The 14,105-nt window shown below is 46.4% G+C and overlaps 3 annotated features.

Annotated features, from left to right (window-relative positions):
- Nucleotides 2,148–2,648: an enhancer, noted in NCBI's record as "H3K4me1 hESC enhancer chr11:3203703-3204203 (GRCh37/hg19 assembly coordinates)". NCBI's record gives its function as "activates a minimal SCP1, AML or CMV promoter by ChIP-STARR-seq in naive H9 embryonic stem cells {active_cell/tissue: H9 hESC(naive)}" and the evidence as "EXISTENCE:reporter gene assay evidence [ECO:0000049][PMID:30033119]".
- Nucleotides 12,340–12,840: an enhancer, noted in NCBI's record as "H3K4me1 hESC enhancer chr11:3193511-3194011 (GRCh37/hg19 assembly coordinates)". NCBI's record gives its function as "activates a minimal SCP1, AML or CMV promoter by ChIP-STARR-seq in naive H9 embryonic stem cells {active_cell/tissue: H9 hESC(naive)}" and the evidence as "EXISTENCE:reporter gene assay evidence [ECO:0000049][PMID:30033119]".
- Nucleotides 12,841–13,341: an enhancer, noted in NCBI's record as "H3K4me1 hESC enhancer chr11:3193010-3193510 (GRCh37/hg19 assembly coordinates)". NCBI's record gives its function as "activates a minimal SCP1, AML or CMV promoter by ChIP-STARR-seq in naive H9 embryonic stem cells {active_cell/tissue: H9 hESC(naive)}" and the evidence as "EXISTENCE:reporter gene assay evidence [ECO:0000049][PMID:30033119]".

The following is a 14,105-nucleotide window of genomic DNA, read 5'->3' as shown; positions in this document are numbered from 1 at the left end:
AAGTGTGTAGCTCCTCCCTCTGGCCTCTCTTCCTCCTGCTCCAGCCATGTAAGACTTGCCTCCTTCCCCTTCGCCTTCCGCCACGATTGTAAGTTTCCTGAGGCCTCCCAGCCATGCTTCCTGTACAGCCTGCGGAACGGTGAGTCAATCAAACCTCTTTTCTTTTATAAATTACCCAGTCTCAGGTAGTTCTTTATAGCAATGTGAGAACAGACGAGTACACACCTTAATCTTGGACTTTCCAGCCTCCAGAATTGTGAAAGACAAATACTTGTTGTTTAAGTCACTCAAAAAAAAGCAGATCAACCACTTTATTTTAAATCTAAGAAATAGGTCTCCCTCTGTCACCCAGGCTGGAGTGCACTGGTGCAATCATAGCTTACTGCAGCCTCAAATTCCTGGACTAAAGCAATCCTCCTGTCTCTGCCTCCAAAGTAGCTGGGACTAGAGGCATGCACCAGTACATCCAGCTAATTTTTTTTTATTTTATTGTACAGATGAGGTCTCACTATGTTGCCCAGGTTGGTCTCTAGTTGTAGGGACTACAGGTGTGAGCCACCAATCCCAACCCCAGATAAACCACTTTTTTTTTTTTTCTGAGATGGAGTCTTCCTCTGTCGCCCAGGCTGGAGTGCAGTGGTGCAATCTTGGCTCACTGCAACCTCTGCCTCCCAGGTTCAAGCAATTCTCAAGCCTCAGCCTCCTGAGTAGCTGGGATTACAAGCATGCACCACCTTGCCCAACTAATTTTTGTATTTTTAATAGAGACAGGGTTTCACCATGTTGACCAGGCTGGTCTCAAACTCCCGGCCTCAAGCAATTCACCCACCTCGGCCTCCCAAAGTGCTGGGATAACAGGCATGAGCCACCGTACCTGGCCAGATAAACCACTTTTAAGAGTCTAGATCTGCACTGTCCATAGTGTAGCCACTGGCCACACAGGGCTACTTAAACTGACAACATTAATTAAAACTCGGTTCCTTGGTGGCACCAGCCCCATTTTAAGAGCTAAAGAGCTGTGTGCAGCTGGTTCCTCCTACAGCGAGCCAGGCAGCTTGAGGGACACTGTCATCGCTTCAGAAAGTTCTATTGGTTGGAGCCGTTCTTGACCTTGTTTGGGTTGCAAGAGGCCAGAATTGGAAAAGTAATCCCAAATGCTTATAGGTTCTGAATGGGCTAAGATTTTCCACAAAATAGGTCCTTGAATAGAAATGAAGAGAACCATGGTGAGTTGTTGGGAGGTGGAGTTACAATTCTGTCCCACAGAGGGTGTGGACTTTGAAGAGGACGTGGTGTCCACTAGGAAGGAAGAAGGACGGGGATGGGCACTGGGCAAGGCCTTCTCTGGAGTCCACCTCCCATCCTGAGGAGGTCAAGGCAAGGACCAGAAGCTGCAGGCCCGGCCTGGCCCGGCCGTGGTGCAGCTGGGGTGGGACACAGAGTTTCCAAGGTAGGAAATAATTACCCCTTCCCTCACTCTGTCCTCGCTAAACTGCTCTTGCCAGCCTACCCTTGTCTCCACCCTTGGCAAGTGCAAGAGTGGGGGCCCCTTTACTCCCTGGCCAGAGAGCTTGGCACCAGGAGAGGGTCAGAGAGGGTGGTTTGGATGTGGTCTGTCTCCACCAAAACTCGTCTTGAAATTGGGTCCCCAGTGTGGCAGTGATAGGAGAAGGGCCTAGTGGAAAGCGTTTGGGATATGGGGGCAGACCCCTCATGAATGGATTAACCCCTCCCAAGGGAGAGAGTGAGTTCTTCAGGAAATGATTCATTCCCTGGAGAGTAGGTTCTTAAAGAGTCTAGTTGTAATCCCAGGATTTCAGGAGGCTGAGGTGGGAGGATCACTTGAGGCCAGGAGTTCCAGACCAGACCAGTGTAAGCAACACAGCAAGACTCCATCTCAAAAAAAAAAACACTTTTTTTAAATTAGCCAGGTGTGGTGGCCACACCTGTGGTCCCAGTGACTGAGGAGGTTGAGGCAGGAGGACCACTTGAGCCCAGGAAGTCAAAGCTGCAGTGAGCTATGACAGTGCCACTGTACTCCCGCCTGGGCAACAGAGTGAGACCCTATTTCTAAAAATAATAATTTAAAAGTAAAAAAAAAAAAAGAGGGAGTCTGGCACTCTTGCTTTCTCTCACCACGTGGCCTCCTTGCCCATGCCTGCCCCTTTCCATTTTGCACCATGAGTGGAAGCTGCTGAGGCCCTCACCAGACACAGTTGCCCAATCTTGATCATCCCAGCCACCAGAACCATGAGCCAACCTCTTTTCTCTATAAATTACCCAGCCTAAGGTATTCTGTAATAGCAACACAGAAAGGACTATGACAGAGGGTGACTGTCCCCTGCCCCGCCATAGCCAAGGCTTGTAGCACTGCTCCACAGCCCTGCAGAGCCACTGTGTGCCCCTTCATCTTTGGCCAGAGTACGAGGTGGAGCAGCTGGGCTCTGCTGCTGTCCTATCACAGGACACACCCGGCACCCAACAGCTCAGGAGACCAATGACTGGGCAGGACCTGACCCCTGGCCTTTGTCTGCATGCACTTGTGTCTGGGAATGGGCCAGACCCCAAGGCAGAGCTGCTGCTGTCTAGGAGGGCCACCCCACACTTGCTGCCAAGCTCCTCTGGCAAGGAGCACACAGAGGTGCCTCTCAGCCCTGCGGTGACAGACCCACCCTCACCCAGCTCAGGACAAGGCTGTGGTCATTTTCCAACCGGACACTCACTCAAGGTTCCACATTTGCTTTCAGGGATTTTGAAGTGGCTGCACCCTGGCCTGGCCTGTAGAGGCCCTCGGGCAGTCCTCCCCTGCCAGCATCGATGGCGCCCTGGGGCTGCTCTGCTACCCTCCACAGATGACCAATATCTGTGGGGCCCCCACCTCATGACCCAGAAAGCACACCTTCAGAGAGCTTGGGGCCCCCAGCACAGCCCTGGTGACGAGACCCCAGCATGTCAGGACCAGAAGTGTCTCTGGAAACAGCCACCTCTGGAACCTCTGGAGTGTTTTCAATGCCTGCTGCTTTCTTTTCCCCCCCCACATATAAGTAATAAGCAACGATTCGAAAGCAAGCAAATGTGGTTTGTGCATTAGACAGGATTTGAGCATGAGCCGCGCTCGGGCCTGGATCCTTTTTTCGCCATTCCATTCATATGCCTTTTTTGAGGGGGCCTGGATCCTTTTTTCAGCATTCCATTCATATGCCTTTTTTGAGGTATAGTTGTATTTGGTGTCAATCATAATCCTCAAAGACACAATCCTGAACTGCATAATCCACAATACTGAAATCCCTAAACCTAAAATCCCTCACGTCAGATTAAAATCTGAATGCCAAAATCCTGAAAGCTGAGTCCTGGGGAAAGGATTGGTGCCTGTCTGTCTGTCTGTGGTGCCTGTCTGTGACAGTTGCACCGTGTTGGGCGGAACTACGACCTTGTTAAGTCTTTATTTGGAAGTTAAGTATGATCTAAAGAGATGAGTGTGGGTGCCAAGTGGCAAGAGGTAGACCTGTGTGGACCTAATTTCAGGTATCAACTTGACTGGGCTGAGAGGTACCCAGAAACCTGGTAAAACAGTAGTTTAGTTGTATCTGTGAGGGTGTTTCCAGAGGAGACGGAAACATTCTCAGCTAAGCAGCATCTAAATGCACTTGCTTAATCACAAAACTTGAGAATAGCAGGAATGAACGTCTGCCCTGACAAATCTTTTGTGCTGGCATCATACAAGCGTGTTTCCATCCTGTTATTAGATATCATCCTTATTTTAGAGTTGATAATACTTCACTCACTCATGTGTGAGCCTGAGTGGACTCGGGGGAAGATCAGCCCTCGGTGTTGGCAAGCACCATCCAATCAACCAGGGCCTAGAAAGAATAAATACAGAGGCAGAAAGCAAACCAGTCTTTCTCTGAGAGCTGGGACAGACTCTTCTTCTGCTGCCTTGGACATGAGAAATCCAGGGTTGCCAGCCTTTGGACCCCAGGACATACATCAGCAGCCCCCTTGGGTCCTGAGGCTTTTGTGGACTCAGAGTTAGAGACCACTGGACCACCGGCGTCTCTGGTTCTGAGGCCTTTGGACTTGGACTGAGCCTTGCCCCTGGCATTGTGGGATCTCCAGCTTGCCTGTCATGGGACTTCCCAACCACCATAATCACGTGAGCCCATTCTCCAGGGAAATCCCTGCTCTTATATCTGTATACACATCTTATCAGTTCTGTCTCGCCGGAGAAGCCTAATATAGATCTGGTATTGGGGAAGTCAAATACTCCTTCTTACTGTGTTTCTCACAACATAATGGAACAGGGCTGTGAAAGTGATCCCTTGCAAAAAGGCTGTGATAAGTTAAGTGTACAAGGCTACTTAATGGTGGAAGATATACGATTTAAAGCTAATTATTATTAAGGCTGTGAAAGCAGAAATCGCTTAAGTGCAGCTGCTGATCAATAACCAGACTTGCAAATGGACAGCAAAGACACAGTTTGTAGACCACAACCACTCTCCAAGTGCAACAAGTGTTTCAAAGATCACAGAAGAAGTGAAAATGCAGGTGAAAAATTTAGGAAGTCTCTTCCACCAAAGTATTCAATCATGTACAATTTCCGCCCCTTCACACGTAGTGCCAATTTGTTATGCTGTATTTCATCTTCATATCATTTCCAACACTGGAGGCATAAATTATGTTAAGGTGTGATATGGTTTGGCTGTGTCCCCACCCAAATCTCACCTTGAATTGTATCTCCCAGAATTCCCTCGTGTTGTGGGCGGGACTCAGGGGGAGGTAACTGAATCATGAGGACCGGTCTTTCCGGTGCTATTCTCATGATAGTGAATAAGTCTCACAAGATCTGATGGGTTTATCAGGGGTTTCCACTTTTGCTTCCTCCTCATTTTTTCTCTTGCCGCTGCCATGTAAGAAGTGCCTTTTGCCTCCCACCATGACTCTGTGGCCTCCCCAGCCATGTGGAACTGTAAGTCCAATTAAACCTCTTTTTCTTCCCAGTCTCAGGTATGTTTTTATCAGCAGTGAAAAAGAACTAATACAGACTGTTAGAACCTTCTAATTTATTTTATGCATTTTTTTGTAAATTTGGCTCCATGAAAGTGCATTATCGCACTGTTGACTTTGTGTGTAAGCATTGTGTGTATGCGTAAAAACATTCAGACTTCCTCACTGAATGAAGAGATGTCATTTTTTAAATATCTGCACTTGTGAAAGATAAAATTTCCAAAGATCTCAACATTTTGGGCAACTGCCTATACAGTGTTGACCTTTCTCAGCTTCCAACTGATCCCTTCAAAAGACTTAGGGTGTCTCTCATGGTACTTCAGATGGCTGCAGGTGTGAAGCTGTACATAATTACCAACCATAGTTCTATGCAATTATACGTTTCCCTTTTTGACATACCTTTCTTTTTAAGAAACAGGGTCTCACTCTGTCACCCAGGCTGGAGTGCAGTGGCACAATCTCAGCTCACTGCAACCTCTGCCTTCCTGGCTCAAGTGATTCTCCCACCTCAGCCTCCCAAGTAACTGGGACTACTGGTGCATGCCAACATACCTGGCTAATTTTTTTTGTATTTTTAGTAGAGACGGGGTTTCACCATGGTGGCCAGTCTGGTCTCGAACTCCTGACCTTGGGTGATCTGCCCACCTTGGCCGCTCAAAGTGCTGGAATTACAGGCGTGAGTCACCAATCCCAGCCTTTGACATATTTCTTTATGAATATGGTTTGTCTGCTTAAACTGTTGTTATTAGTACATCTGAGGGTTTATATTTGCAAAAATATGCATGTTACTATTCCCTATTTTATTGTGCAAAGTGGCCTATGAAAGTTCTGATGTGTTTTTATGTTTCTCAAATAAATTCCCTTTAAAAATGTAAATATAGGCCAGAAGTGGTGGCTCACACCTGTAATCCCAGCACTTTGGGAGGGTGGATCACTTGAGGTCAGGAGCTCGAGCCCAGCCTGGCCAACATGATGAAACCCTGTCACTACTAAAAATACAAAAATTATCCAGGTGTGGTTGTTCACAGCTGTAATCTCAGCTATTCAGGAGGCTGAGGCACGAGAATCACTTGAACCCAGGAGGCAGAGGTTGTGGCGAGCCGAGATCGTGCCACCGCACTCCAGCCTGGGCGACAGCGTGGGACTGTCTCAAAAAACAAACACCAACCAAACAAATGTAAACATATGTATTTAAAATATATTTTTTAATTATTTTTTCCTGAATTATATTTTGGGAATTTTGATCTTTCAGGATTCCAACACTTGGAGTTACAGTGTTTGGGATTGTGCCTTTAGGGGTAGTGGCCCAAACCCAATTATATTCTGTAAAATTCACTCTCCTTCATGTATAGCTGTGTCAGTTTCAACAAATGCATCCAGTTGTGTAACTGCCACCACAATCAAGAGGCAGAACATTTCCAACACTCCAAAGACTGTCTGGGTGTTTCTTTGTGGTCAACCCACCTCCCCCTACCACCTCCAGCTCCTGGTCAAACAACCTATCTGTTTTCTATTCCTACATTTTTGCCTCTTCTGGAATGTCTTATGAGACCTATGGTATGCAGACATTTGTCTGGCTTCTTTCATTTAGCAGGATGTGTTTGAGATTCATCCATGCTATTATGGGTAGTTGGTTCCTCTGATTGCGAAATAGTTTTTCATTGAACCACATTTTGTTTATCCACTCACGTTGAAAGGTGTTTGGCTTGTTTCATTCTTGGGCACTTATGAATTAAGCCACCATGAACATTTACATGCATTTTTTATGGATATATATTTTCATTTAACTTAAAATGCCCAGGAGCAGAATGGCTAGGTCCATGATCAGTGTGTGCTCTCCTTTACCAAAAACTGCTGAACTGTCTCCCACAGTGGCCGTACCATCTTGAATTCTCACCAGCAGTCTTTGAGGCTCCACATCCTCACCAATACGTGGCACTTATTATACTCCAGCCATTCTAGTGGGTGCATAGTGCTCTCTCATTGTGGTTTCAGCTGCAATTTTCCAATGACTAATGGTGTCAAGTGTCATTTTGTGTGCTTATTTGCCACATGAATATCTTCTTTGGAGAAGTGATTGTCCAAATCTCTGGCCCATTTTTAAATTTCTTATTGAGTTTTGAGAGTCCTTCCTATATCCTGGATATCAGATATACATTTTGCAAAGATTTTTCTCCCAGTGTGTGCCTTGTCTTTTCATTCTCCTAACAGTGTCTTTCAAAGAAGAGAAGTTTTTAATTTTCATGAAGTCTAATTTATCATTTTATTCTGGTATGGATTATGGTGTTATATGACTTTTGGTGTTCTAAGAGTCCATTCCCTAATCCAAGGTCACAAAGATTTTCTCCTATGTATTTTTCTAGAAGTTTTAGTTTTAGGTTTTACATTTAGGTCTATAATCCATTTTGAGATAATTTTTAGGGCACAAGGTATAGGTCAAGGTTTATTTGTTTATTTGTTTGTTTGTTTGCATAAGGTCACCAATTGTTAACATTTGTTCAAAAGACTATCCTTTCTCCATTGCCTTTTGTATCTTTGTAAAAATTCCACGGACCATATATTTTTGGACTCTCTGCTCTGATCCATCAATCTATGTGTGGGTTCTTTTGCCGATACCAACACTGCACTGTCTTGATTACTGCCATTCTATGGTAACTATTGAAATCAATTAGTATATAAGTCTTCTAACTTTTTTTTCAAAATTATTCTGTCTATTCTAGCTACTTGTCTTTCCATATACATTTTAGAATAAACTTGTCAGTTTCTACCCAAAAATTCCTGCTGGAATTTTGATTGGGATTGCATTGAACCTTTTAAGCAGTGCAAGGGGCAAATGAACATCTTAAAAATATTGAGCATGCCAACTCATGCATGTTATATAGCTCTATAGCTCCAAGCTAGTCCATAGAAATTGGCCTCCAATTGATCTTTGTACATTGACCTTGTATCCTAAGACCTTTTTCAACTCACTTACTAGTTCTAGTAGCTTTTTCATTTGTTCTTTAGGATGTTTTACATAGATAATTATGTTGTTTGCAAACAAAGACCATTTTATGTCTACCTTCCCAATCTGTATATCTTTTATGTCCATTTCTTGCCCTATTGAACTATCTAGGAGTTCCAGTATTCTGTTGAATAGAAATGGTGAGAGTGGACATCTTGCTTTGTTTCCAGTTTAAGGGGGAAAGTATTTCATGTTTCACAACTAAGTACGATGTTAGCCATAGGTTTTTCATAGATGCCTTTTATTATGAAGAGGAAGTTATTGTCTAATACTAATTTTCCAATAGCTGTTATCATGGATGGATAAATTTTGGATGGATTAAATTTTGTCAGATGTTTTTCCTGCAACTATCAAGATGGTTATATGTTTTTTCTTTTTTGGTCTGTTGCTATGGTAAATACATTGCTTGATTTCCAAATGTTGAACCAGCCTTGCATTCCTGTGATAAATCCCACTTGTTCATGATATATTATCCTTTTAATATATTGCTGGATTTGATTTGCAAATAGTTCATTGAAGATTTTTGCATCTGTGTTCATGAGGGTTCATGGTCTATAGTTCCACATTTGCTTTTGCAGCACCTACCCTGAACAAGGCACAAGGGAGACCCACTGGGGAGAAGAATATACATTCTGACCTCAAGGAGCTTGTATCTGACCACATTGCAAAAGAAGATGTTTTTCAAAATAGAAAGTGTGATTCCCATCTGTTACCTCACTGGAGTCTCAATACTCCCTTTAGAGCTGGGAGGCATATTACCATCTAGGCATAAGGGGGAAACTGAGGCATCAAGAGATTAAAACCATCTAGCTAGTGGCAGAGCCAGCCAGAACCCTAACTGCTCTCCCAGGCCCTGCTGCCTTCACTGCCTTTGACTGGAAACCTTCTCTCTCCATCCCTAAGGTCACATGCTTGGGTCAGCTTTGGTTACTTCAAGACGTACCTGAATATGTCCACTTCTCCTGACCTCCCATTCAAGCACCCCAAAACAACCCTGAACAACACTGACTCTGTTTACAAGACTTCCTGTCTCCATTCTGTCTGTATAGCAACAATAAAGACCATCACATTCCCTCCTCAGAACCCCCTAAATGGCTTCCATCACAATCAAAATAAAATCAAACTCCACATGGGGCACAGGAAGCCAGGTGTGATGACCCCTGCAGCCTCCCTGACCTACTTCCTGCCCTTCTCCCTCCCCCTGGCCACACTGGCCTCTGGCCACTATGTGAACATACCAAACTCCTGGCTTCCTGGTGCCTGGGTGCCTGCTATTTCCTCTGCCTGGGACACACTGAACCCCGAGGTGCTGTGGCTCACCCACTCCCTTGCTTCATGAGGGTTTCTGCCCAAATGTCCTTTCCCGAGAAAAAGTCCTCCCTGGCCCCCTCTCCAAGCCCACTCAACACTCCATGCCTCCTCCTACCTCCTGCCCTGGATTGGCTTTCCTTCATAACATCGCTGGGGCTGTGTTCATGCACTCATTTTCTGTCTTTCTCATAAAAGTTTGTGAGCAACATGCAGGCAGGACTCCTGTTTGTCCCCTTCACAGCCATGTTCCCATGCCTAGACACTATCTAGCACCCAATAGGTACTCCAAAAATATGTGATTAGGGAGAGTGAGCATCATGGGCCTGCTGCAAGCATCCCCAGCCCAAGGAACAGAGCAGAGCTGAGAGGTGGGAGGAGGCCTCACTGTCACTAGCCTGCACTCCACCCTGCCACACCCCCCTCTGCTGTCTTCCACAGGCCTGGCCACCTCCCCCATGCAAGTCTTACAGCTGGGGCCACTGTGACAACAGGGGTGAGCATTCACCCAGTGCCACAGTGTGCCAGGCCTGGGGGATGATGCTTTTCACATGGGACTCTCCCACCCCAAGATGGGTTTAATTTTAATGCCTGTTTTACATGATCAAGAGGATTAGGATAATGTTGACATGCACATAGCCAGTGCCTGGTCCTTAGCAGATATTCAGTAATAGCAAACTATTAGCATTAGCAATATTCCCAACTAGCAAGTAACAAATAGAAGCAAACCAAGCTTGAGTTACATCCCAGGATTAGAGAGAACAGAGACAAACAGATTGGTATTCAGAGACTGCTCCACCAAGCAATTTAACTTTTATAAGCTTCAGTCTCCTCACCTGTAAAAATGGACAATACTACCTGCCTGGTAGAGTTCTATGGTGATTAGAGAAAATGACTTATAAAGACCTGACACAGTGTCTGGCACACAGCCCAAGCTCAGCCAAAGGGAGGCAGTAATGGTGAGAATAGTCATGATAATGGTGGTGGCAATGATGGAAATGGTGGTGGCATTGTGGTAATGCTGGTGATGGTGATGGTAATGCTGATGAAGGACGTGATGATGATGATGACAGAGATGATTATGATGATGATGGTGATGATAGTGATGATGATGGTGATGGCGATTATGATGGTGATGGTGATAAAAACAATGATGGTTGATGATGATGGTGGTGGTGATGACAGTGATGATGGTGATGTGATGATGATGGTGATGATGATAATGATGATGATGAAGGTGGTGATGGTGCTTATGATGGTGATGAAAGCAATGATGGTTGATGATGGTGATGATGATAGTGATGGTGAGGATGGTGATGATGATGGTGGTGGTGGTGATGGTGATTATGATGATGATGAAAGCAATGATGGCTGGCGATGATGGTGATGGTGATTATGATGGTGATAGTGATGATGGTGACGATGATGAAGGTGGTGATGGTGATCATGATGGTGATGGTGATGAAAGCAATGATGGTTGATGATGGTGATGATGATGTGGTGGTGATGATGATGGTGATGGTGAGGATAGTGATGATGATGATGATGGTGGTGGTGATGGTGATTATGATGATGATAAAGCAATGGTCGTTCATGGTGATGATGGTGGTGGTGGTGATAACAATGGTGATGGTGATGGTGGAGACAGTGATGATGATGATGATGGTGGTGGTGATGGTGATTATGATGATGATGAAAGCAATGATGGTTGATGACGATGATGATGGTGATGGTGATTATGATGGTGATGGTGATGATGGTGATGATGATGAAGGTGGTGATGGTGATGATGATGAAAGTGGTGATGGTGATCATGATGGTGATGGTGATGAAAGCAATGATGGTTGATGATGGTGGTGATGATGGTGATGGTGCAGATTGTGACGATGATGATGATGATGGTGGTGGTGGTGACAGTGATTATGATGATGAAAGCTATGATGGTTGATGATGGTAATGATGGTGGTGGTGGTGATAATGATGGTGGTGGTTGAGGTGACAATGGCAGTAGAGGAATAGGTGAGGATGGCAAAGACTAGATTCACACCCAGCTCTGACCCCAAAGCCCAACACCTCTTCAGCACACCATACTGGAATCCCTAGTCTGCCTTCCAGCATCCTCTGCATCCATGGTTTGCAAGCCTTTTGGTCTTAGGGTCCTTTGTAGTCTTGAAAAATTACTGAGAACCACAAAGAACATTTGTTTCTATAGGTTATGTCTATAAGTATTCACCAAATGTTTTAAAATCTGCATTTAATTATTCATTTAAAAAGTAACTATTATAAACCCATTGCATTGTTAATGTAAATAACACATTATTTATGAGAACCAACCATATTCTACAAAACAAAAATATTTTGTGAAAAGAGTGGCATTGTTGTACATTTTTGTGAGTCTCCTTAATGCCTGGCTTAACAGATGCTAGCTGAGTCTTTGCATCTGCTTCTGTATTCTCTCCATTGCAATATCACACATAGGCAGCCTCCAGAAAACGCCACTGTAAGTTGTAAGAGAATAAGGGTGGAAAGGGCAAATAGCATCCTAGTATTACAATGTAAATAACGTTGACCTCTTGGACTCCTGAAAGGGTCTCAAGGACCCCCAGAAGCTGTCTGTCCACGTGGGAGACTCCAGGCACGCACTCAGAATCACTGCTCCTCTTAAATGAGTAGTCATTAGCCGGGCGCGGTGGCTCACGTCTCTAATCCCAGCACTTTGGGAGGCCGAGGTGGGCAGATCACCTGAGGTCAGGAGTTTGAGACCAGCCTGGCCAACATGGTGAAACCCTGTCTCTACTAAAAATACAAAAATTAGCCGGGTGTGGTGGTGGGCGCCTGTAGTCCCAGGTACTCGGGAGGCTGAGGCAGGAGAATCGCTTGAACCCGGGAGGCGGAGGTTGCAGTGAGCCGAGATCACACCACTGCACTCCAGCCTGGGCGACAGAGAGAGACTCTGTCTCAAAAAAAATAAAATAAAATAAGTAGCCATCTCCAGCTGTGGGCTGTTTCGTTGTTCCTGCAGGGGTGACAGGAGAGCCCCAGGTTATGCATGCCCCAATACTGGCTTGTCCTGAGTCCTGGGTGACTCTGCCTCTGCGTCTTGGTCATCTTTAGGGCCTTTCCATCTGCCTCTCAGTATGCAAGTTACACCTGCCAATCAACCCCAGTTCCATAAGAAAGTGACTTCTCAGTGGTGGCCCTGTAAGTAGAAGCAGCGTCTGCAGCATCTGGGACTCCCCTCCCACCCCACAGACCTGGCCATGCGATTCTGCAGTCTTGGGTTTCTGTATCCTGAGAGGAAAAGGTGGCATGTCTCCTGGGCATCACAGGCTGGCCACTAAGCCTGCAGATTCCCTCAGTCAGATCCTGCCTTGGGACAGTCGTTTCCTTTCCGCACCCACTCACTGTGTGTTACCAGGAAGCAGCCCCAGGCCCTCCCCAACAGGTGGAAGACAGACGTGCCAGATTCCCCATGATCCTCCCAAGGGCAGTTTGAAGATCCCTGGAGGGAAGCCAGCCTTCCACCCCAATGTGCATTTGCCAAAATCCTGCCCCTCGGTGAATCCAGTTGTTCCTGGCTGGAAATCCCAAGCCAAAAGGGCAGCTTCTAGCAAAAGCGTAGACCCTCCACTGCTCCCGGGAGGTGCTGACCGCCCCATTCAACCCTCTCCATTAGTAGGGGCCAGGAACCGCCTCCAGCTTGACGCACAGAGCCAGGATCTGCTCCATCAAGGCTTCCAGGCCCTGAGGCTGTGCACTCAACAGAGACCCAGAACACAAGTATTTAGGACAGTTAAGAAGTTCCACCGGCTCACCAAAACCAATGGCATTCAACGGGAAAATCAGTACAACACTGCCAAGGGTTCCTTGTGGGAGGTCAAACCCCCAGTACCTGTGAATGTACACTATTGGAAATAGGGTCTTTGCAGATGTAATCAAATGCAAGATTTTCAGATGAAATTATCCTGGATTACCCTAGTGGGCCCTAAATCCTATGACTGGTGCCCTTATAAAATAAAGGAGATGGAGATTTGAGACACAGACACAGAAAGGGAAGAACGCCGTGGCTGAGGATGGAGGCAGAGATTGGAGGGACTCATCTCCAAGCCAAGGAGTGCCAAGGATTGCTGGCCACCAGAAACTGGGGAGAAGCAGGGAAGGACCCTCCCCCAGAGCCTCCAGAAGGAACCCAGCTGCTGAGACCTTGATTTCAGGCTTCCAGCCCCCAGAACTGTGGGGGAACCAATTCCTGTTGTTTCAAGCCCTCCGGCGTGTGGTAGCTTTTTGTTCTGGCGGTTCCGGGAAACGAGCACACCTGTTTACAGTTGGTCTGTTGGTTGAGGAGAAACAGCGGGGTTTCATGTGGTCATCACATCCTCCAGGGCCACTGCGTGTCTTCGAGCACCAGCATTCTGAAGTCAGGGATGGGGTCTTCCTCATGGGCTGTCAGCGACTTACTAGGAAGGCTCAAGGTCTCATTAACTTAGAGCCAGATCTGGATGAGGTGACCCTGTGTACTTCTGGCTTACAGCAGGTGCTGTTAGTTCTTCCTGAGGGGCACACGCACCCAGGATGCAGAGGGCAGGTCTCAGCTTTGCTTCAGCCCTCTCCACCTCGTCTGTGCCCCAGGAGGGCCCTGCTTTCCTGCAGCAAGTCCTCAGCCCCAAGCCAACGTGGAGGTTCAGGACCCAGCTCTGATCTCAGGAGTCACTGCCAGGGAGCATCGTCTGAGTGAGCAGGCTCCGGGAGGCTGCCCCTCCACCTGCGGGGTCTGCAGCCTCCCAAGTGG

Source organism: Homo sapiens, chromosome 11, assembly GCF_000001405.40.
Source record: "Homo sapiens chromosome 11, GRCh38.p14 Primary Assembly".
NCBI classification, from domain to species: Eukaryota; Metazoa; Chordata; class Mammalia; order Primates; family Hominidae; genus Homo; species Homo sapiens.
The sequence above is the reverse complement of the archived record's forward strand: the minus strand, read 5'-3'. Positions and strand labels throughout refer to the sequence as shown.